Source organism: Homo sapiens, chromosome 21 (assembly GCF_000001405.40).
Source record: "Homo sapiens chromosome 21, GRCh38.p14 Primary Assembly".
Classification (NCBI taxonomy): domain Eukaryota; kingdom Metazoa; phylum Chordata; class Mammalia; order Primates; family Hominidae; genus Homo; species Homo sapiens.
In genome coordinates, this window is record NC_000021.9 from 28301296 (window position 1) to 28326828 (window position 25533).

General features: G+C 37.4%; 1 annotated feature.

Moving 5' to 3' along the window:
• Nucleotides 24237-24851: an enhancer, noted in NCBI's record as "OCT4-NANOG hESC enhancer chr21:29697851-29698465 (GRCh37/hg19 assembly coordinates)". NCBI's record gives its function as "activates a minimal SCP1, AML or CMV promoter by ChIP-STARR-seq in naive H9 embryonic stem cells {active_cell/tissue: H9 hESC(naive)}" and the evidence as "EXISTENCE:reporter gene assay evidence [ECO:0000049][PMID:30033119]".

The window sequence follows — 25533 nt, forward strand, 5'->3', positions numbered from 1 at the left end:
TGAGTTAATATTCCTTAATAAACTCACTTTTATTTATACACTTATACTATTAGTTCTGTCCCTCTAGAGAACCCTGACTAATACAGATTTTGGTACCAGGAGTGGTTTTAGAGGAATAGAATATTAAGGATGGAGTTCTTTCATTGGTTTGGGGGTTTCTGGAGTTGGCTGCTTAATGTGATTAGACCCAAAAATGCTAAGGACTCTACTTCTTTTTTTTTTTTTTTTTTTTTTTTGAGACAGAGTCTCACTCTGTCGCCCAGGCTGGAGTGCAGTGGTGCGATCTCGGCTCACTGCAAGCTCCGCCTCCCAGGTTCATGCCGTTCTCCTGCGTCAGCCTCCCAAGTAGCTGGGACCACAGGTGCCCACCACCACGCCCAGCTAATTTTTTATATTTTTAGTACAGACGGGGTTTCACCATGTTAGCCAGGATGGTCTCAATCTCCTGACCTCGTGATCCGCCCGCCTCGGCCTCACAAAGGACTCTACTTCTAATAGTATGGAGAACACTGATAGTCCTTGGCATGAACTGTGTAGATGCATTTGACACTCCTGATTCACTGCACATGAGGGGCGAGGAGTTTAGTGACTCATACATAATACCTTTGACCATATGTGGAGAACCAAAGAACATTATGAAGTTGGTTGGTTGCTTCTAAGTTCACTGGACAAAGTGATGTAAGAAAATTATGAACTCAGGAATTCTAACTCCCAGTTACAGATGCAGATACTGAGCCTCAAATCTCCTAAGATTGCCCTGAGTGAGACTTACCTCCTGTAGAGAAAAAGCTAAAGTTGTGGAAAATCAGACACAGGCTCTTATAATGCGAGCAACTGACCTGCAACAAAAGATGTATGCACAGCCTTGCCAGGTGTCTACTGTTAAAGTGAGGGCATTGATTGGAAAAAAATGAGACCCTGCAAGTTGGAATGGGGATGTGTGGGAGGACCCTGATGAAGCTGGGGACACTGAGATTGTAAACTCTGATGAACCTTTTTTGCCAGAAGAAACAGCTTCCCCATCCCCAGTAGTGGCAACATTCCCTCCCCAACCCCAACTGCCATCAGCCTTTCTATCTTTGTCTGAGGAGATAAACCCTGTGCTGCCTGAGGCAACAGCAATGGCCTCCGCTGAGGCAGTTTCCAGGCAAGGTAATGTTGATTCTCCTCAGTACTCACCCTCAACACCCCTGATTGCTTCTAGACCTATAAGTAGACTAAAGTCCCAGCAGGCCCCTAGAGATGAGGTTCAGAGTGTGACCCATGAAGAGGTGTACTACACTCAAAAAGAACTACTTGAGTTTTCTGGTTTATATAAGCAGAAATCTGTAGAACAGGTATGGGAATGGATATTAAGGGTGTGGGATAATAGTGGAAGGAACATAGAGTTGGATCAGGCCGAATTCATTGATTTGGGCCCCCTAAGTGAGGATTCTGCATTTAATATTGCTGCTCGGGGAGATAAAAAAAGTTCTAATAGTTTGTTTGGTTAACTGAAATATGGATTAAAAGATGGCCCACTGTGAGCAAGCTGGAAATGCCTGATTTCCTCCCTTGATTTAATGTAGAAGAAGGGATCCAAAGGCTTAGGGACATTGGGAAGATGGGGTGGATTAGTCACTTCAGACCTACTCATCTCATCTGGGAGAGAGTCCGGAAGATATACCCTTGACCAATATTTTGTGAAATAGATTTGTGAGGGAAGCACCTGCATCTCTGAGGAGCTCTGTAGGGACTGCTCTTCTCTGTATGCCAGATCTAACAGTGAGAACTGCAGTCACTCAACTATGAAATGTAAATGCAATGCGAATAATTGGATCCTGAGGTGGCAGGGGCCAAGTGGCAACACTCAGCCATCAAAAGCAAGGTGGGCATAGCTACCGTAATGGACATCAGAGGCAAAGCAGCAATCAGAATAGTGTGACTTGTGTAGAACGCTGGCATTGTCTAATTAATCACGGTGTTTCTAGAAGTGAAATTGATAGGAAGCCTACTGCATTCCTACTTAATTTATATAATAAGAAAACATCCAGATCTAGTGGACAAAAAACTAATTTGAATTATAAAAACAAAGAATCATAGCTCCTTAATCAGTTTCCAGACTTGAACTCGTTTAAAGACCCAGAACCCCTTGAATGGAGAGCAGGCTGGGTCCCCTTGAGGAAGGACCCCACTACACTACTGACAATTTATGCAGTTATCCTTTCTCCCATCCTTCCCCACAGAGACCTCTGGCCTTTTACCAGGGTAAAGTGCATTGAGGAAAGGAAAATGATCAGACATTTCAGGGACTACTAGATACTGGCTCTGAGCTGACACTGATTCCAGGGAACCCAAAACATCATTGTGGTCCTCCAGTTGAAGTAGGGACTTATAGAGGTCAGGTAATTAATGGAGTTTTAGCCCAGATTCAACTTACAGTGGGTCCAGTGTGTTCCCAGACTCATTGTGTGGTCATTTCCCCAGTGCCAGAATGCATAATTGGCATAGACATACTTAGCAGCTGGCAGAACCCCCACATTGCTTCTCTGACTGGTAGGGTGAAGGCTATTATGGTGGAAAGGCCGAATGGAAGACAATAGAGCTGCCTCTACCTAGAAAAACAGTGAATCAAAAACAATATCGCATCCCTGGAGGGATTGCAGAGATTAGTACCACCATCAAGGAACTGAACAATGCAGGGATGGTAATTCCCACCACATCCCCATTCAACTCTCCTATTTGGCCTGTGCAGAAGATAGATGGATCTTGGAGAATGACAGTGGATTATTGTAAGCTTAACCAAGTAGTGACTCCAATTGCAGCTACTGTACCATATGTGGTTTCATCACTTGAGCAAATTAACCATCTCCTGGTACCTGGTATGTAGCCATTGATTTAGCAAATGCCTTTTTCTCCATTCCCGTACATAAGGCCCACCAGAAGCAATTTGCCTTTAGCTGGTGAAGCCAGCAATATACTTTTATTATCCTACCTCAGGGGTATATCAACTCTCTGGCTTTGTGTCACAATTTTGTTTGGAGAGACGTTGATCAATTCTCCCTGGGGCCCAGAACAGGAAAAGGTTCTGCAACAGGTCCAGGCTGCTGCACAAGCTGCTCTGCCACTTGGGCCATATGACCCAGCAGATCTAATGTTTCTTGAGGTGTCAGTGGCACATAGGGATGCTCTTTGGTCCAGAGATATGTGGATGTACCTCTCTGAGTGGTCAAAAACTGTGAAGATATTTGTATCCCATGTAAGTGCTCACCAACAGGTGACCTCAGCAGATTCCCACAGATTTCCCCTTCCCAAAAGATATGACACTGGTTGATTTTGTTGAGGATATTATGCTGATTGGATCCAGTAAGTGAGAAGTAGCAAACACACTTGACTTATTGGTGAGACATTTGCATGCCAGAGGACGGGAAATAAATCTGACTAAAATTCTGGGATCTTCTGTGTCAGTAAAATTTCTGTGGGTCCAGTGGTGTGGGGCCTATCAAGATATTCTTTCTAAGGTGAAGGATAAGTTGCTGCATTTGACCCCTCCTACAACCAAGAAAGAGGCACAATACCTAGTGCGCCAATTTGGATTTTGGAGGCAATACATTCCTCATTTGAGTGTGTTACTCCAGCCCATTTATTGAGTGACTCAAAAGGCTGCCAGTTTTGAGTGGAGTCCAGAACAGGAAAAGGCTCTGCAACAGGTCCAGGCTGTTGTGCAAGCTGCTCTGCCACTTGGGCCATATGACCCAGCAGATCCAGTGTTGCTTGAGATGTCAGTGGCAGACAGGGATGCTGTTTGGATCCTTTGGCAGGCCCCCATAAGTGAATCACAGTGGAGGCCTCCAGGATTTTGGAGCAAGGCCCTGCCATCTTCTGCTGATAACTACTCTCCTTTTGAGAGACAGCTCTTGGCCTGCTACTGGACTTTGGTGGAAACTGAACGTTTGACTATGGGTCATCAAGTCACCATACCACCTGAACTGCCTATCATGAACTGGGTGTTTTCTGACCTATCCAGCCCTAAAATGTGTCATCCACAGCAGCATTCCATCATAAAATAGAAATGGTATATACATGATTGGGCTTGAGCAGGTCCTGAAGGCACAAGTAAGTTACACGAGGAAGTTGTTCAAATGCCCATGGTCTCCACTCCTGACACTCTGCCTTCTCTCCCCGATCCTGCACTGATGGCCTCATGGGGAGTTCCCTATGATCAGTTGACAGAGGAAGGGAAGACTAGGGCCTGGTTCACAGATGGTTCTGAACAACATGTAGGCACCACCCGAAAGTGGACAGCTGTGGCAATGTAGCCCCTCTCTAGGACATCCCTGAAGGACAGTGGTGAAGGGAAATCTTCCCAGTGGGCAGAACTTCAACCAGTGCACCTGGCTGTGCGCTTTGCATGGAAGGAGAAATGACCAGATGTGCGACTGCATACTGATATATGAGCTGCGGCCAATCGTTTGACTGGATGATGAGGGACTTGGAAGAAGCATGATTGGAAAATTGGTGACAAAGAAATTCGGGGAAGATGTATGTGGATGTACCTCTCTGAGTGGTCAAAAACTGTAAAGATATTTGTATCCTATGTGAGTGCTCACCAATAGGTGACCTCAACAGAGAAGGATTTTAATAATCAATGTTGGATAGGATGACCCATTCTGTGAACACCACTCAGCCTCTCTCCCCAGTCACCTCTGATATCACCCAAAGGGACCATGAACAAAGTGGCCATGGTGGCAGGGGTGGAGGTTACATATGGGCTCAGCAACACGGACTTCCACTCACCAAGGGTGACCTGGCTACAGCCACTGCTGAGTTCCCAATTTGCCAGCAGCAGAGACCAAAACTGAGCCCTCAATATGGCACCATTCCTCGGGGTGATCAGCCAGCTACCTGGTGGCAGATTCATATTGGACCTCTTCCATCATGCAAAGGGCAGAGGTTTGTCCTCACTGGAATAGACACTTACTCCTGATATAGGTTTGCCTATCCTGCACTCAATGCTTCTGCCAAGACTACCATCCGTGAACTCACAGAATGCCTTATCCACCATCATGGTATTCCACACAGCATCGCCACCAAGCAAGGCAATAATCTTATGGCTAAAGAAGTGTAGGCAGTGGGCTCATGCTCATGGAATTCACTGGTCTTACCGTGTTCCCCATCATTCTGACGCAGCTGGATTGATAGAATGGTGAAATGGCCTTTCAAAGTTGCAATTACAATGCCAACTAGGTGCAATACTTTGCAGGGCTGGGGCAAAGTTCTTCACAAGGCTGTGTGTTCTCTGAATCAGTGTCCAATATATAGTATTATGTTTGAGCATGTTTACACTCATACTAAGAAAATATCTTCGTTTTATTTCCTTTTTCATGTACCATAAGATTTATTGACTTCATATCAGAATTTAAGTGTTGTTAACTTTATGTAATAGCATTTGGATTGGGGATTGGTTCATTTCTAGTTTTAAGAAAGATAGCTGTATTATGTTAGGTATAATTATGATAGTTTATTTGAAGATTATGTATGATCTCAGGAGATTTGTATGGGTTCAAGTTGACAAGGGGTGGATGTGTGATGGTTAATACTGAGTGTCAACTTGACTTGATTGAAAGATGCAAAATGCTGGTCCTGGGTGTGTCTGTGAGGGTGTTGCCAAAGGAGATTAACAGTTGAGTCAGTGGGCTGGGAAAGGCAGACCCACCCTTAACTGGGTGGGCACCATCTAATCAGCAGGCAGAAACAGGTGAAAAAGAGAGACTGGCCTAGGCTGCCAGCCTACGTCTTTCTCCCGGGCTGGATACTTTCTGCCCTCGAACATTGGACTCCAAGTTCTTCAGCTTTGGGACTCGGACTGGCTTCCTTCCTCCTCAGCTTGCAGACAGCCTATTATGGAACCTTGTGATTGTGTGTTAATACTCCTTAATAAACTCCTCTTTGTATGTACATCTATCCTGTTAGCTCTGTTCCTCTAGAGAACCCTGACTAGTACAGGCAGTGAGGAATAGCTGATGTAGGCTGGGAAATTGGGGACCTATGCTGTGCAGTATCAAAATATTTGGCTAAACTATTGCCGGAGATAAGTTAGAAGGCCAAAGACAGATAATTGTGGTTCTAGGGAAATTGTTGGAAGGAGCCAAAATATTAGTGTGTGTTGGCTACACAGACTGCATTTAGCAAAATATTTCAGGAAAAAGATTAGCTTATATATGACTGACCAACTGGTAGCAGGGCTGGAAAAAGAGAACTCTTGAAGCCCACATAGCATTTGCTCTCCAGAGATTGTTAAGACTTTCCAGAATAAAAAGAATTTAGCCATGTGATAAAGGTCAGGTTAAAGGCATTGTTTTCTCACACAAGTGTATTGTTTTAAGTGGTTTTTATTTAGTGGCCACTAAATTTGAAGAAATAGCCATGAGGGAAAGACAGCAAAATTACAAGGCAGATGTAAGAACTATGTCTAGGAAAAAATTCAGGGTATGACTCCAGTCATAATAAACTAACTAGAAGCAAATATTCCTGAAAATTTTGAAAGGGCTGTGCCAAGAAAGAATGCATGATTCTAGGCTGTAAAATCCAGAGACCAATGGGCAAGCCTTAACACTTGGACCCCCAAAATTGAATGAATAAGTAGTCAGCTATGAAAGCTGATCAGTTCTCAAAGGGTCAGAGTTTCTGACATCCACTGCAAATAATGATGTCATGAAGGATTGAACAAGGAGAAACAATCTAGAGGTAATACTCAGGGTCATGAAGAACAAAGGGCAAGATAATTTTTCTATAAAAAGACTGCCTAATCCATAATATATTATAGGGATATTTTAATGCCTGTTCAGCAGAATATGACAAAGGAGTAGTGACTACTGTGAGATTTTTAACATATATTCTACCCTTCTACCATCATATTTGGTGTGGAGGAAGGCAGGGGCAAATAGCTTGTCATTTTGATTAGCAGGTCACTGGACAGGTAGAAGTCATATCTGGTCTATGGAAGCAAATGTACAACTCCCACAGATCATGGATTTTGAGCTGATGCAGTTTCTTAATCAAAATCTGGAATTTTCCTCTTAGTGATGGGATAGGTGTGGTTTCCAAGTGGGAAGAAAGGTGCAATTTTCCCACCCAAAGAACTAAGAGTGAATTTGGCAGTCAGAGAAATGGACGGTAGAAGTATCAATGTCTCCACTAACCTTGCTAGTCACTTGTAGCTGGGAAGCAGCTACCCAGTTAAGAAGTGCATTTATTTACTCTGCTTGCGTTCAGATGTGATCTTGTGATTAGTTGTCAACAAAGTTAGGTGAACAGAAAAGATGTGAGCCACTTCCAGGCAAAGGATGTAATTAATTGGTTTGCTTTTGTCCATTCCACTTCCCCTTGTACTCATGGATGCCAATATGATGAAAGGTGGAGCCACAATCCAGAAGACTGGGACTCTGAGTCACCCATGGAAAAGAGTCACCTTGAATTGTGTGGGCTAGAAATAAACTTTCATTGCATTTGAAGCATGTAGATCATTTTGTTTCTATTTGTTACCACAGTTTAGTATAATCTTCCACATTATAGTTATATTAGTAAGAGATAATATTTATTCAGGGAAAAGCACAATGTTAACAAAGTCATTTTAAGTGTTCTTGTAAGAAGAAAAATATGGATATGGAATACACTGCAATATATGATGCATATCTAAGGCATTTTTGCATTTGAAATCTGAGGTGAAAACTCCTTTCATGTAACTTGGCTAGTTTTTGTTATGTAATATTAACAGACTATGCACATATATATGTGTATATATATATATATGCATATAAATATATATATGTGTGTGTATAATTTGTTTAAAAATGAATCTTCTACTAATATAAATGAAGAAAAACATAAAAGTAGATAATCTTATTTATAATGTAATATGTGAATTTCAGCTTTGCATTTTTGATTGAGTTTTATTTGCTCTTTGACAAAAATTGAGCAGCCATCAGATATGTGATGGGGAAAATATACAAACAAAGCTATGACTTATATAACTCGTGCCTTGAAAATCAAGTAAAAGAAGCCACAGTGCAGTTTTAGGACAACAAATGAGTCAGGAATCAAAAGTTCTAAACTCTGGTTTAGCGTCTACTTGCTAACAATGGATTGGTTCTCAGACATCAATTTTTCCCTATTTCCATTTAGAGAGAGAGAAAGCTAAAATGTACATTTCTCAGACTCCCTCACAGCTATGGTTTTGGACATAAGATTCTGCCAAGCACAATTTAGAAATTATAATGAGAAGGAAGTCACCTTCCTATGATTACTGTACTAATGTTTTCAGTGTTCTAACCTCAAGTTCTACTTTGTAGTCACCAACTGCGTACAGTAGCAAAAACATGTTCCTGAAGAGTAGTATGAACTTCTGCTCTTCCAGACATCCCTACAATTTTTGAAGTACCTAATTCCCTGAATTAAGTTTCATTCTATTTGAAGCATCTAAAGCGGCTCTTTTTTCCTGTACTGAACATTGAGTGACTCACTAATAATGAGTGATTAATAAACTCTTTGAGCTCAACTGATCATAGATAAACATTAATAGGTAGTATTTCAACTGAGAAACAGTTGAGGACTATGGCCAAGTTTATAGTTTCCAAAGCACTAAAAAGAAAAAAAAAAAAGAAAATTTATACAAAAATCAGAAAATGAAGAAAGGAAAAACTATAAAATAAAATGGCAGAATGACAAGGGTAAATAATATTAAAATAAACCAGAATGGCCTGATTGTATTCATTTAAATAAAGGAATAAGAAAGTACGTCTTTCTCTCTTTTCCTTTAGAAACCCCACTAAAACAAGAAATGTGTTCAAAGTGGAATTTTAAAATAGTATAAACCTGGAAAAGTGAAAATAACGAGAGGGGTTTATAAATAAATCAGAGATGTCAACAAATATGTGAAAGTCATAAGGTGTAAAGAAGTGAGTAAACAAATGAAGGAAGAAGAAATAATCACATCTTCGAATATCAGTGCTACAGAGCCAGTGCAAGTCTGTCTCCCTAGTGGAATGTCTGAAGCACGGGGCTCACAGTTGGCAAGAAAGGGAGAGAAAAAGACTGAGAAGTGAGGTTAAAACAGATTTTTAGCACGTTCTGCAAATATGTTTAAGTACATTTTGCTTGTTCTCTGTATCTTCCAGAATGTTTAAAGTAGTCCAACATTTTTTAAATTTAATGCCAAACATTGGAGAAAGGAGAGAGAAAATGGTAAATATATGTGAACCACATAGTCCACATCAGGAATTAACAACTATTTTGCACTTTACTAAAGTAAATAATCCAGAATTATAGGAGTTTACATATGAGAACGGACGCACTGAATCTGGACTTAGAGGAAGATTCATTTTTCTGGCAGATTCTGAGTTGTTTACTACATGTAAGTTTTATATCCTTGGGGATGGAGTTGGTGAATGCCTTGGAAGGCAACAACAAATCAAGAGTTGGAAGATACATATTTTTTAAAGAGAGAGCTCCTATAATTTATAATTTTATGAATGGCTCAATCTTCCTTCTTAGCATGTCTAGTTCTGATGGATCTATTTGTTATTCCTGTACATTCCTATCCTGTGCCTCTAGGCCTTTTGGCATCAATAAGCAGGTGTAGCTCCTGCTGCAACAATCAGAGAAGAAATAAGCTTAGGACAAATTACTAACAAATTTTTACTAATACTAACTGGCAATTGTGACATAGGCCTTACCACATATCTCATTAGGGCTCTAACACTTGCAGACAAACCCTTTTACATAGTTAACCAATTTTCACATATAAAATTCATGTCTTTTTCTGTAAACATTGGGAAACTTAGGCACTAGTTTTTAGATGCAATTGAAATACAAAAAGCCAAAGCACTTCAGCAGTGTAAAGAACTCTGAAAATCCATTCCTCCATAAGAGCTAAGAGAACACTAGCTGAATTGTTCAAAATCAACATTTTTATAACTCTGGAAGTTAACCAAAGGCTTGCAATAATTAGTGGATTGAAAAAACACACAAACAAACAAACAAAAAAACGAATCTCAGTAAGAAGAGTGAGGTTTGTGGTATTTCTAATTTCCCCTGTTCCCATCCCTGCTCCTCTGTACCTCGGCAACAGCCTTGAAAACCAGCAGCCTTACAACCATGGTAGCTGTAAGAACCAGCAGTCTAACAGCCACTGAAGGAAGAATGCGTTTGGAGCTCCAAAAACCAGATCTTGAGAGAAATGTTATTTTTTGACCTGTCTGGCACCATTCATAGGGGGCTCATCTTTACATGAAGTAAGTCAGAGCTTACTCACTAGGAAAATCCCTTCCCCAGGTCATTTATCAAAAATTTCACAGAGAATTATATATTACTTCAGCTGCCTGAGGTGTTAATATCATTTGGGGTAAGCAAGAGTCTGGCCAAAAAACTTAACAAGAAAACTTGGAGATGATATGTCCACTGAGCTGTGAAAAGCTCTGTCACGTTCTTGGGAATCTGAAGATCATATACATGTACAGGGCTGTACAATACTCAGAAAAGAACTGAGAAAGTTCTAACCTCTCATTTCTAGTTAATTTTGATACTTTATCCAAGCAGGAAGTAATGGCTGAAGCACAAATGTGAACTCTCAGAGCATTAAAGACATGCCCAACACACAAACAAAGCCCCTCAGGAGAGTTTAGGGGACTAGTTGGCTCAAAAAATCTAAGGAAATGAATCATTAGTTGATCACTCAGTTAAATGAGCAGTGACTTCAGTGATTGCACATGACCAAGAATACAGACTTTAGAGAATTATTTCATGAAAAACCTGAAAGGAACAAATAGCAACAGCAAAAACAAAACTAGGGGAAGGAGGAGATCTGATTACCAAAGCTAACACATGATATAATTTTAAGTATCCAGTTTTTAACAAGTAATTATAAGACATCCAAAGAAACAGGAATGTATTATCGTACATGAGAAAAAAAGCATTCAATAGAAACTGTTCCTGAGGAAGCCCAGATGTTGGATTTATTAGACACATACAGTAGCTATTCGAAATGTGCTCAAAGAACTGAAGAAAATCTTGTGGAAAGAATGAAAATAAAGTTAGAAAAATTCCTCACTCAATATCAATAAAGAGAGAGAAATTATTTTTAAAAAAGAATCAATAGAAATTCTGAAGTTGACAAACAATTTTTATTTTTACTACAGGGGCTTTATAGCACATTTAAGTTATCAAAAGAAGAACAAATAACCTTGTAAACAAGTCCATTGAGATTATCCTGTCTGAGGAACAGAAAAAAATAACAAGATCTCTGGGATTGGAGTTTCAGGAGGAAAGCATAAAGAGAAAGAGATAGAAAAAAATTTTGAAAAAATACAGGCAAAAACTTTCAAACTTTGATTTAAAAAACACTAACTTACACATCCAAGAAGATCAACAACTTCCAAGTAGGATTAACTCAAAAAGATCCAAGTGTAGACACATTATAATCAGAGTGGCAAAAGCTGAAAACAAAGAGGGTGTTGAAAGCAGCAAGAAAAAAGAGTATTATAAGGTACAAAGGAATCTCAATAAAATTAACAGGTGACTTTCAACAGAAATCATGGAGGTTATAAGGCAGTAAAACAACATATTCAAAGTGCTTAAAGCAAAAGAATGTCAACCAAGAATTGAATATCCAGCAAAACTAACCTTCAAAAATTAAAGAGAGATTAAGATATCCCCAGGCCAAAAAAAAAAAAAAAGAAAAAAAGAAAAAAAAGGAAATTTGTAACTAACAGACCTATACTACCATAAATACTGAAGCAACTCCTTCAGAATCAAATGAAAAGAAGTTAGACAGTAATTCAAATCCACATGAACATTTTTCAGGCCTGGAAATAGGCACCTGAAAAGGCTTTACCTGGCAGGCCTCATGGGGAAATCTACTCTCCCCACACCAAACTTGACATACAGACCGTGCATTGAAGTCTCTGGCAAAAGTTGCAGCCAAGAACTCAGGCCTCTCTGGCTGGTCATGCTCTTATGTGCATTTTATTCATAGCCAAAGGACCTCTATTAGGAAGTCTCCTTATTGGGAAGCCTCAGCTGAGAGATTCCTCAAGCACCTCTATATTTTTATAATGGGATCGCAAAGATAATTTTTCCACTCTGACCCAGTACTTAGGACTCTTTGAATTTTAGCCCTTACCCTTCCACTTTCCCTAGCCCCAGGTCATAAAATGACAGAAGTCCTTTATTCAAGGCTCTCTTGGCAGTTACATATTTTCTCCATCTGTATTGCTACATTTGACCCTCACACACTGCCATTCCATGGGGGAAATGAGAACATTGAGGGAGCCAGCATGCCAGCACTCTTTGCTATTTAGCCTCTTATACTATCACAGTAAGTGAAAAACAGCTCAATTATTATTTATAGCTTAGTTTATTGTCTTAATGAATGTCAACACCCAGCAGCTCAGCTTTCTTCAAAAGAATAAAGAGCACTAGCTGGTGCAGTGGCTCATGCCTGTAATCCCAGCACTTTGAGAGGCCGAGGTGGGTGGATCATGAGGTGGGTGGATCACGAGGTCAGGAGCTCAAGACCAGCCTGGCCAATATGGTGAAACCCCGTCTCTAATAAAAATACAAAAATTAGTCAGGCGTGGTGATGTGCACCTGTAGTCTCAGCTGCTCGGGAGGCTGAGGCAGGAGAATCGCTTGAACCTGGGAGGTGGAAGTTGTAGTGAGCTGAGATTGTGCCATTGCACTCCAGCCTGGGTGACAGAATCAGACCCTATCTCAAAAGAAAAAAAAAAAACAAAAAAACAAAAAAAAACGGAGCACTAGTAAAAGTAACTACACAGGTAAATATAACAGATGTAATAAATGTATTTTTTGTTTCTAACACTTTTCTTTCCCTATCTGATTTAAAGGGCAAATACATAAAGCAATAATCATGAATATGTGTTCATTGGCCTTAATGCATAAAGGTGTAATTCATATGAAAACAATAGCAAGAAGAATTGTAAGGGAACAAAGCTATATTACAGTAAAATTTTTGTATACCACTGAAAGTTGGTATGCATTAATTTAAAATAGATTGTTGACATTAATTTAAAATTGACAGTAATTTAAAATACATTGTCTTAGTTAAGATGTAAATTTTAAGCCCAGGGCAACCATTAAGAAAATAATGCAAAAAAATATAACAAAAGTAACAAAAGGAATTAAAATAGTGTAATACAAATATATAGTTAACACAAACAAAGCAGTAATTGAGTAATGGAGGAACAAAAAACATTATATATATGTTATATGTTTAAATATATATTTATATACATATATATATCCCAAGACCAAAAATAAATAAATTAAAGAAGAAATACATCACTAATAGACCTATACTACATGAAATACTGAAGCAAGTCCTTCAGAATCAAATGAAAGGAAACTAGTCAACAACTCAAATCCACATGAACATAAGGAGTCCAGCTCCAGGCCAAAATCATATATGTGATTTTTTAGGCCTAAAAATAGGCACCTGCATATATATATATATATATACACATACATGTATATGCATGATATAAATCCAACTAGGCACCAAATAAATCCAAAATAGGCACCTACCTATATATAGATATATATATATATGTGTGTATATATATATATATGCAGATATAAATCCAACTTTATCTATATTGCATTAAACAAAAGTATACTAAACTCTCAAACAAGTGGCAGAGATTGGCAGAATGAATTAGAAATCTGATCCAACTATATGTTGTCTGTAAGAAATACACTCAAGATTCAAAAATAGGTAGGTGGAAAGTTAAAAAGATGGAAAAATTATATCATAAAAATAGCAATCAAAAGACAACTGAAATGGTGATACTAATATCAAGCAAAATAGACTTTAAGAAAAATATTATTATTAGAAAAAATAGAACTATGTTTTATAATGATAAAAGGGTCAACCATTCAGGAAGACATAACAATTATAAACATATATGCATCTAACAAGAGAGTCCCAAAATACGTGGAGCCAAAACTGACAATACTACAGGGAGACATAGCCATGTCAAAAAGAATAATGGGACACTTCTATAGCCTCGATTGCAATAATGAATAAAAATAAGCTAAGAAGAATTTCAACAAGGAATTAAAGGAGATTTAACAAATCTATAAGCCAACTAGAGCTAACAGATTTTTATGGAACACTCTACACACAGCAGAAGAATCCACATTCTTCTAAAGTACACAGGTAATATTCTCTAAGATAAACTATATATTACTTCATTAAAACCACAAAAAATTAAAAAGTTGAAAATATACAAAGTATGTTCTTCAACATTAAAGAAATTAAATTATAAAGGGATAACAAAAGGAATTTTGGGAATTTACAAATATGTAGAAATTAAACAACATGCTCCTAGCCAATGGGTCAAAGAAGACATGATAAGGAAAATTACAAAATACTTTGAGATAAAATATTTATAGAATTCTATTACGTTTCTGCACATTGTGACAGTACACGGATCAAATTCTTTTTTCTCTGGACTATTTTTCTTACAATTTGTACAGAAAACATCCTTGGAAAGCAGCAAAAATGTTATTTATTGTCATCAGTTACACACCATTATGTGACTGTGACTATAAAAAGTGAGGAGAACAATTTTCTATATTATAAAAATACTAATTGTAAAATGGTTACATCTTTCTAATATGTATTAGTGGTATCATAGATTTTTTGAAATAGAATTTCTGTGGAAAATAATACTATCTAGAAGATGTAGCATTTATTGGATTCTGCTCATTTTTATTCATAAATTAGACTTTTGCTACCTTAAATTGTTCTTAATAGTCTAGGTGCTAATGTATGCTTGTTGTTAGTGTAAATCATTGCAGGCCTCAGCTAATCAAATGTTTTATATGATTTTTTCACTACTTTTGGCTTCAAAGAGAAGAAAAATTTCAGTTTATAAAATCTGCCAAGGAATTAACTGGAACCAAGAACTTGATTAAGTATAAAAGAAGGCAAAAATAGGGGAGAGTGATCAAAACAATAAAGCAATTGCTTCTAAAAGAAAATCTCTGGTACTTTGGATTAACTGAGCAAATTTACCCAGAAATAAGCTCAAGGTAATCACAGACTTTTATATATTCAAGTGTGCATAAATATAACATTTTATATATTCAAGTGTACATAAATACAACATTCATAAATTTTTCCCAGGAAAGAGTATATAATGTGCACCTCCAATTTCATGTCAAATCTTTATCACATTTAATAGTAAATTTTATCTCAAAAATAAATGTTGAAAAAATCAGTCAAGCTACACATTTTTTAAATTAAGAAATAAACTTTCATTTGAATAAAAATAGTTATGACACCATTGGATTAACTAATAAGTAATAATTAAAGCCATATTTCTAGGTCTTTACAGTCTACATTTCTGGGAACTTCTGATATTTTAAAAGTAATTTAAGAGGTCTGATATGGTTTGGCTATGTGTGCCCACCCAAATTTCATCTCAAATTGTAATCTCCAGGGCTGGACCTGGTGAGAGGTGACTGGATTATAAGGGCAGTTTTCTTATGCTGTTCTCATGATAGCAAGTGAGTTCTCGTGAGATGTGATGGTTTTATAAGGGGCTCTTCCCCTTTGCTTGTTTGCTCACTGTCACCTGCCGCCATGTAAGACTTGTCTTTGCTTTTTTCTTGCTTTCTGCCATGATTATATGTTTCCTGAGGCCTCCCCAGCCATGTGGAACTGTGGGTAAATTAAACCTATTTCCTTTATTAACTACCAGTCTCAGGTAGGTCTTTATAGCAGTGTGAGAAGAGACTAATACTATAAATTGGTACTGGTAGAGTGGGGTGCTGCTGTAAAGATACCTGAAAATGTGGAAGCAACTTTGAAACTGGGTTAACAGGCAGAGGTTGGAACAGTCTGAAGAGCTCGGAAGAAGACAAGAATTTGTGGGAAAGTTTGGAACTTCCTAGATACTTGCTGAATGGTTTTAACCAAAATGCTGATAGTGATACATGGACAATGAAGTCTAGGCTGAGGTTGCCTCAGATGGAAATGAGGAACTCCTTGGAAACTGGAGCAAAGGTGACCCTTGCTATGCTTTAGCAAACAGACTGTCAGCAGTTTGCTGCTGCCCTAGAGATCTGTGGAACTTTGAACTTGAGACAGATTATCTGAAATTGGAACTTATATTTAAAGAGAAAGTAAAGCATAAAAGTTTGGCAAATGTGCAACCTGACCATGCAATAGAAAAGCAAAACCTATTTTCTGGGGAGAAATTCAAACTGGTTGCAAAAATTTGCGTAAGTAACCAGGAGCCAAAAGTTGATAGCCAAGACAATGAAAAATATGTCTCCAGGGCATGCCAGAGAACATCACAGCAGCGCCTTCCATCACAGGCCTGGAGGCCTAAGAGGAAAAAATTGTTTCTTGGGGGTAGGCCCAGGGCCCCACTGCCACTCTGAGCAGCCTTGGAACTTGGCTGTCTGTGTCCCAGCCATTGCCACACCAGCTCCAGCCATGACTAAATAGGGGGATCATAGAACTCAGGCCATTGCTTCAGAGGGTGCAAGCCCCAAGCCTCAGAAGCTTCTATGTGGTGTTGGGCCTGCAGGTAAAAAAAACACAAGAATTGAGGTTTGGGAACCTCTGCCTAAATTTGAGGATATATGGAAACGCCTGGATGTCCAGGCAGTTTTCTGCAGGAGTGGAGCCCTCATGGAGAATCTCTGCTAGGACAGTGCATAAGGGAAATGTGGGGTTGGAGACCCCACACAGAGTTCTCACTGCAGCACTGCCTAGTGGAGCTGTGAGAAGAGAGCCACCTCCTTCCAGACCCCAGAATGGTAGATCTACCGACAGCTTGCACTGTGAGCTTGGAAAAGCCACAGACACTCCATGACAGCCCATGAAAGCAGCCGGGTGGGAGGATGACTGTGCCCTGCAAAGCCACAGGGGCAGAGCTATCTCAGACCATGGGAACCCACCTCTTGCATCAGCATGACCTGGATGTGAGACATGAAGTCAAAGCAGATCAATTTAAGCTTTAAGATTTAATTACTGCCTTGCCTGGTTTCAGACTTACATGAGGCCTATAATCCCTTTGTTTTGGCCAATTTCTCCCATTTGGAATAGGAACATTTAGCCAATGCCTGTACCCCATTGTGTCTTGGAAGTAACTAACTTGTTTTTTATTTTACAGGCTCATAGGTGGAAGGGACTTGCCTTGACTCAGATGAGACTTTGGACTGTGGACTTTTGAGTTAATGCTGAAATGGGTTAAGACTTTGGGGGACTGGTGGGGAGGCATGATTGGTTTTGAAATGTGAGGACAGGAGATTTGGGAGGGGCCGGGGTGGAATGATATGGTTTGGCTCTGTGTCCCCACCAAATTCTCATCTCAAGTTATAATCCCCACAATCCCCATGTGTCAAGGGCAGGACCTGGTAGGAGGTGACTAGATCAGGGGAATGATTTCCCCCGTGCTGTTCTCATGATAGTGAGTGGGTTCTCATGAGATCTGATGATGTTATAAGGGGCTCATCCCTCTTCGCTTGTTCACACTTTCTCTCCCCTGCCTCCATGTCAGATGTGCCTTTGCTTCTCTCTTGCTTTCTGCTATGATTGTAAGTTTCCTGAGGCCTCCCTCCCCAGCCATGCAGAACTGTGAGTAAATTAAACCTCTGTTCTTTATAAATTACCCAGTCTCGGATATGTCTTTATAGCAGTATGAGAAGAGACTAATACAAGGTCTGAATATGCCTTCTAAATTTAATAGACATAATCATCATAATTACATGGTTTTAATTTAACATATGCATTTTATTGGCTAAACAGGTGCACAGTTTATGCTGGGCCCCTCCACAAAAACCATTCTTCCATTTTCTTTGGCTACAAAGGTCATTTCCTTTAAATAACCCATCTGACTTCTAAATCCAAGTTACATGTCTTGTGATATAGGCATTCTGTACATCAAAGCACTTACTATGGTATCTTTGGTTTTATGTTTATTCATCATTATACCCCATAAAAATTGGAAACTTCATGAAGGTGCAACCCACATATGTCACTGATCTTACTCTTGAACAAAGAACACAAAAGTAGAAAATGGAGGAATGAAATAAAAATCGCAGAGATGTGCAAAAAGAGGAGTGTTCAATAATTAATCCACACATAGATAAATTCTTTATACTCAATAAATATGATGAATGTAAATATGATATACTCAATAAATATGATGAATGTAATGAATGCATTATACTCCCAGAATGCACCATTTTCTAGGTACTAGATGATACAGCAGTAAATAAAACACAAAATTTCTGCCATCTAGCTGCATACATTTTAGAATCTAGATGGTTGTTACCTGAGATATATCATAATATATTTTTACCAAAAGAAGCAATGTAAAATAATGTTATAATAATATAATATATTATATATATATATATAAAATATAATATAATCATCTAAAAATGTGAGGACACTGGGCACATATGCAGTATGATGAAATAGGAGAAATGCAGGACCAAGCAAATAGACACATGAAATAGGTCATCAGTAGTTTCAGGATGTCTTGTAGATTCATTTATTTGTTCATTATACTCAAATACTAATTTGACAATTTATATAAGCATCCTACTAAAGACTAAGTATTGAGTCCTGAACAAACAGACATGACTCTGTGCTCATAGCATTCTGATTTATTTTTAACTATTGCGTTTTAACCACTGCCTTGGTCTGAATGTTTTTGTTCCCTCTAAAGACGTACGTTGAAACTTAGCCTCCAATGCAACAAAATTGAGAGATGGAGCTTAATAGAAGGTGTTTAGGTCAGAATAGGTCTGCCCTCATGAATTAATTAATGCTGCTATGGAAAGGTCTTGTGAAAGTCCATTCTGCCTCTTTTGCTATTTTGCCATGTGAAGAATAGCATTTGTCTCCCTTTTTTGCCTTTCTTCTTCTGCCATGAAAAGTCACAGCAAGAAGTCTCTCATCAAATGCCTGTCTCTTGATCTTGGACTTTCCAGCCTCCAGAAATGCGAGAAAAAATTTTCTGGTTTTTGTAAATTATCAAGTCACAGGTATTTTGTTGTAACAGTACTAAATGGACTTAGACAACCACATATTACCGTAAGTTACACTGACTTTTTAAAACTAAACTTCTTATTAAAAAAAAATTACAGATTGATATGCAGTTGACAATAATAATAGAAACACCCCATGCACCCTTTGTCCATATTCCTGAGTAACATCTTGCAAAACTGTAGTTCAATATCATAACCATAATATGACATTGACACAATTAAGATACCAAATATTGTCTTTACCACAATGATTTTTCATGGTGCCTCTTGATAACCACACCTACTTCCCTCTGCCATTTGGTAACTCATGAAAATCACTAATCTGTTCTCCGTTGTTATAAATTTTACTATTTCAAAAATATTATGTGTGTACTACACTAGTATGTAGCCATTTTGGATTGATTTTGCATATGTGGAGATTCTCTTATCCATAAAAATTTCCTTTTTTCTTACTGCTTTCAAAATTCTTTGTTTTTGACTTCTTACAATCTGATTGTTATGTGTCTCTGTGGACTTTTTTGGTTCACCTATTTAGGGTCTTCTTATAGCCCTGGATATAGATTATCATTTTCTTCCTCAGATTTGAGAAGTTTTCAGCCACTATTTTGAATACGCTTTCTGATCTTTCTCCTCTCTTTTTCTGAGGACTTTCATAATGCATACATTTAGATGATGTTCTTTAAATCTTTCAAACTTGTTTCACCATATTTCATTGTTTTACTTTTGTTCCTCTCACTAAATAATATCCAATTATCTGTCTTCAGATTTGCTAAGCCTTTATTCTGTTTGAAATAGTCTGTGGTTGAACTGCTCTAGTGACTTTTACCATTCAGTTATTATATTCTTCAACTCCATGATTTCTGTCGGAACTCTTTTATATTTTACATCTCTTTATTGAAATTTTCACTTTATTAATGCATTGTTCTCTCAATCTCAGTGGGCATCTTTATTATTGTTTTTAAATTAATTCTATGTCATACAAATTCTTTTTTATGGGGTGGGGGAAGATCACTTGGGATTTTCTATATAGACCATCATGTAATTTGCAAATAAGGACCATTTTATTTATTCTTTTCCTATCTGCATGCCTATTATTTGCTTTGCTTGTTTTACTGTGTTAGCTAGATTTTCCAGCACTATGTGGGATACTGGTGGTGACAGTGAACATCCTTGTCAGTTTCTAATCTTAGATGTAAAAAAATGTAGTATTTTACCATTAAGTATGATGTTGTATATAAGCTATTTGTAGATATCCTTTAGCAAGTGTAGAGTTTCCCTCTATTGTTATATTTCTGAAAGTTATTATGAGCGGGTGTTGCATTTTATCAAAATGCTTTTGCTGTATTAATGAATATGATCTTGTGATTTTTCTCCTTTTGAGTGTTAACACAGTGGATTACATTGGCTGTCAAATACTGAAGTAGCCTCAAATCACTGGAATAAATCCCATGTGATCATGATGTATATTTTTTCTACATTACTGAATTCTATTTAATAATATTTTAATAAAGTTTATCACATGTCTATATTCGTGACAGACATTGGTCTGTAATTTTCTTTTTTGTTTCTTTCTTAGTTTTTGGTATCAGGGTAATATAAACATCAAAAAAGAATTGGGAACTGTAAACTTATTTTTTCTGGAAGAGATTACATAAAATTGGTGTTAGCTATTCAAAGATTTAGTACAATTATATGGGTAACCATTTGTGCCTGGAGATTTCTTTTTAGTAGTTTTTCAAATTTGACTTAGTTACAATTTAATTTTATTAACAATTATAGGGCTATTCAAATTTATCTACTACATATTGGGTGAGTTGTCACATTTTGTGCTTTTTGAAAAACTGGTCGATTTTTATCAAAGTTAACAAACATGTTTGGGGAGTTCTTGATAGTATTTTCTTATTATCCTTTTGAGCTCGGTAATGGCTGTAGTGGTATCACTCCCAATATTGGCAACTTGTGACCTCTTTTTTAGTCAGTTTTTATGCTTTTAAATTTTACTTATTTTTCAAGGAACTAATTCTTTGCTTATTTTGAATTTTTTATTGCTTTTCTATTTTCAAATTCATTGATTTAAACTATTATCTTTAATATTTTCTTCCTTCTGCTTGCTTTGGATTTATTTTGTTCTTAAATTACTGAGGTCAGAGATTAGATGATTAATTTGGAACTTTCCTTATTTTCTAACGTATACATTTAGTGCTAGAAATTTCCTTTTGGGGTCGGGTGTAGTGGCTTATGCATGTAAACCTAGCATGTTAGGAGACCAAGACGGGAGGATCACTTGAGGCCAGAAATTTGAAACCAGCCTGGACACTATAGTGACACCCTGTCTCTACAAAATATTTTTTCATTAGCTGCACATGGTTGCATGCAGCTCTAGTCCAAGCTTTTTGAGGGGCTGAGGCAGGAGGAGCCCTTGAGACCTGAATGGTGAGGCTGCAGTGAGCCATGATCATGCCACTGCACTCCAGCCTGGGTGAAAGAGTGACATGGTCTAAAAAAAAGGAAAAAAAAAAAACCCTCTTGGAACTAATTTTGCTGTGTCCTGAAAAACTTTATATGTTTATATATTCATTTATAATTCATTGAATGTCTTTTTTATTTTACTTGAAACTTCCTCTTTAACCCAGGGATTATTTAGAAATGCATTATTTCATTTCAAAGTGTTTGGAGATCCTCCTATTAACTTTCTGATACTGGTTTCCAGTTTGATCCCATTGTGATTACAGAACACTCCTTATATGATTTCAATTTGCAAAAACTGTGTCTAGGTCTGCTTTATAGCCCAAATATGGTCTATCTTGGTATACTTTCCATGGGTACTTAGAAGAAATGTTTATTTTGCTCTTTGGGGAGTAAAATGTTCCTTAAATGTTGATTAGATACTTATAGCTGGTGGTGTTGAGTTCTTGTATATCTTTACTGATTTTCTGTCTAAATAGCCTATTGATTATTGATAGAAAGATGCTGAAATCTCCAACAAAGCTATGATCTTTGTCTTTTTCTCCTGTCTTTTTAATTACATCAGCTTTTGTTTCACATATCTTGTACCTCTATTGTTTGACATGTACACATTTAGGATTGGTGTCTTTTTGGTGTATAAACTTTTTATCATTATGTAATGTATTTCTCTGTCTCTGGTAATTTTCTTTGTTCTGAAGTCTCCTTAATTTTACAATAATCTAGCCACTCCTGCTTTTTTAAATTAATATTTGCATGGCATATCTTTTCCATCCTTTTACTTTTAATTTATTTATATTGTATTCGAAGTGAGTTTTTATAGCATATAGCTCAGTCATATATTTTTAATCCACCCTATAAATCTTTGTCTTTTCATGTGTGTATTTATTTACTTTTAATGTCACTGTTAACATGCTGGCATTTAAATCTACCATTTAAGTTTTATTTTGCTCCCTCTCTTTTCTCTTTGTTCTGTTTCCTGTTTTCTTTTTTCCTGCCTTTTTATGAGCAATGTGACAATTATTTTAGAATTTTATTTTGATGCATATACTATAATTTTTACATATCTCTTGTTATAGCATTTTTAGTGGTTGCTCAAGGTATTATAGTACAAAACTTATTATAGTCTACTGATGTTGACATTTTACCAATTAAAGTGAAGCGTTAAAGCTTTCCTCTCATCACATCTTTTTTCCTCTTTCATTTATAAAATAATTGTCTTTAATATTGTTCTAAGCAATTAGAATCACATCAGTGTAATAATTTTTGCCTCAACTGTCAATCATGACTTAGAAAACCCAAGAAAAGAAGAAAATATGAGTAAGTCTTTTACTTATCCATATTTTTGCTGTTTCTTGTTGTTTCTTTCTGATATTCCAAAATTTCTTTTTTTATCATTTCATTTCTGTTTAGTGAATGATAAATTCTGACCCAATTTTGAAGTGAATTCTCACTGAATTATGTCCCCTCAAAATTTATATATAAAATTGGTGATTGAGGTCCTAATCACCAATGTGACCGTATTTGAAGACAGGACCTATTAGGAGGTAATTAAGGTTAAATAAAGTTACAAAGTTAGGGCACTTTTACAATAGGATTAGCGTGCTTTTAAGAAGATAGACTAGAAAGCTGTCTCTCTGTCTCTCCCGCCCTCTCTGTCTCTGTCTCTCTCTCTTTCTGCACACACACACACACACACACACACACACAAAGAGATCATGTGAACACACAACAATATGGCAGCTGCCTACAAGAAGGAAAGAGAAACCTCACCAGAAACCAACCATGCTGGTGTCTTTGTCCGAGACCCCTAGCCTCCAAAACTGTGAGAAAATATGTCTGTTGTTTAAGCCATCCAGACTATGGTATATTAATAGCCTATGCTAACTAACATGGATAATTTCCTTTAGTCATTCTTTTAGAATATATCTGCCGGTGATAAATTCTCTTAGCTTTCCTTCTTCAGAGAATGTCATCATTTAGCTTTGATTCTTAATAGAAATGTAAATGGTATTTAGAATTTTGAGCTGACAGTTTTCTTTCAGCACTTAAAAAAATGCTGACGCACTGATTTCTGATTGAAAAGTTAATATCATTCAAATTGTTTTACTCCTATAGCCAAAATGTCATTTCTCCCCAGTTGCTTCTATCATTTGTATTTGCCTTTAGTTTTTACAAGTTTGAGTATGATATATCTTCATGCAGACTTTTCTGGGTTTATATTGTATGGGTTTTTTCTCAGCTTCTTGAATCTGTAGGTTTATGTATTTTGCCAGATTTGGGAAGTTTTTGGTCATTTTTTTGTGTATTTTTTTTACCCCTCCCTTCTTTGTTCTTTCCTTCTGGAACTCTAATCCTGTTTACTTATCCATCCTTCTATCCTCATTATTCTGCTGTTGAACTAATCCACTGAGTTTTCTATTTTGGTTAGTGTATTTTTTAGCTTTAAAATTTTCATCTCGCTCTTATTTTATCTTCTATTTCTTTACTAAGACTTTTCTCTTTTAATTTATTTCCAGTTTATTTGTAATTACTTTCAGAAGCATTTTTATAATGATTTGTCACATAATTCCAGTATCTACATTGTATTGGTGTTGACATCTCTTGATTTCTTTCTTCATTCAGTTAGAAGTATTCCTGGCCATTTTGTGACATGTGATATTCTGTTAAAACCTGAACCCTTTGGAACTATGAGACTGGATCCTATGTAAACCTACTCAGTTGGTTTCCTCTACAGGGACAGAAGGCAAGTGAGGATAGAATTTCAAGTTCCCTACTTATCCTCTATTAATAGTCAAAGAGGAGAAAAGCTCCTTGTTACTGTTGGGCAAGTGAGGGATTTTCATGCCCCCACTAGACATTTGCTGATATCATATGGGCGTGCTTTTGTTATTGCTCCCCATGTGGCCTCCACTGACACCATAGGGAGGGGAAAATGGGCAATGATGAAAGTACAGACTCTCCTCTAGGCCTTTTCTACCACCACCAGAAAGAGCATTCTTCTTTATTACCAGGTGGGAGTGAAAAGCAAAGCTCCTCAGGTGGTATTCACTGACACAATAGGAGCCACAAGTGTGACTCATTATCCTTAGCAGAGAACAAAGTTACACCTTCCTACTCAGTCTTCTCTGACATCACCCTAGAGAGAGTTTGAGACACCTCTTTATAGCTTAAAAAGAATGAAAATCTATGCTCCTCATTTAGCTTTTGCCAGCTAAGGTGGAAGTGGACTACAGATTTTTTTCTGTGATATTTGGTCAGGGTGGAAGAGTTATTATATAGAAGTTTTCTTTCTTGCTAGTATGTGTCTTTCCTGAAACTTTGACTAGAGCCAGTAGGCTTTTGTTAAGGATTTTTGTTTTTGCATCCTTTGGCATTTCTGGGATTTTCCAGCTTCTGTAGCTCCACGTCGGAAATACGTGAGGCAAAGAGAAAACATAGAAAACCTACCACCATGTCATTCTTTGGTCCTCAAGTTCCTTAGCTAGTTTTCCTACTTCTTTACACTTTTCAGGTCTTCCTAGGTTTGTTTTACATATAATTTTCAAGGTTTTCAGTTGGATTTAGCAGGAATATATCTACTCCATCTTTCTGGAAGCAAAATACCATTAAGAGATACTGATTTTAGAAATGGAAATGACTCATGTGAGAGAACACAAAATGGAATAATTTTACTGAGACAAGAAGGATCAAACCACAGAGAAGATGAAGACTAAATCAGCATGAGCTAAGGTGGTTACAGAGGATAAAGTTACCTGACTGTTATAATCAAGATTCTGGAGCCCAGGGAGGGCAAAACCATGTGATTAGTAGCCCTTCCCAAATTCCATTATCAGTGGGAACAGTCAAATTCCTGGTGGCCACTTCCTTAGTACTGGCTTTTTACCCACAAGATTTAATACTAAGTTGATTGATTCAACTGTGTTTTCTTTGCCTGTTTCATGAGCTGCTCACTTTAATTCTGGATGTTCGACTAGTAAAAAAGATCCATTTCTGTAATTT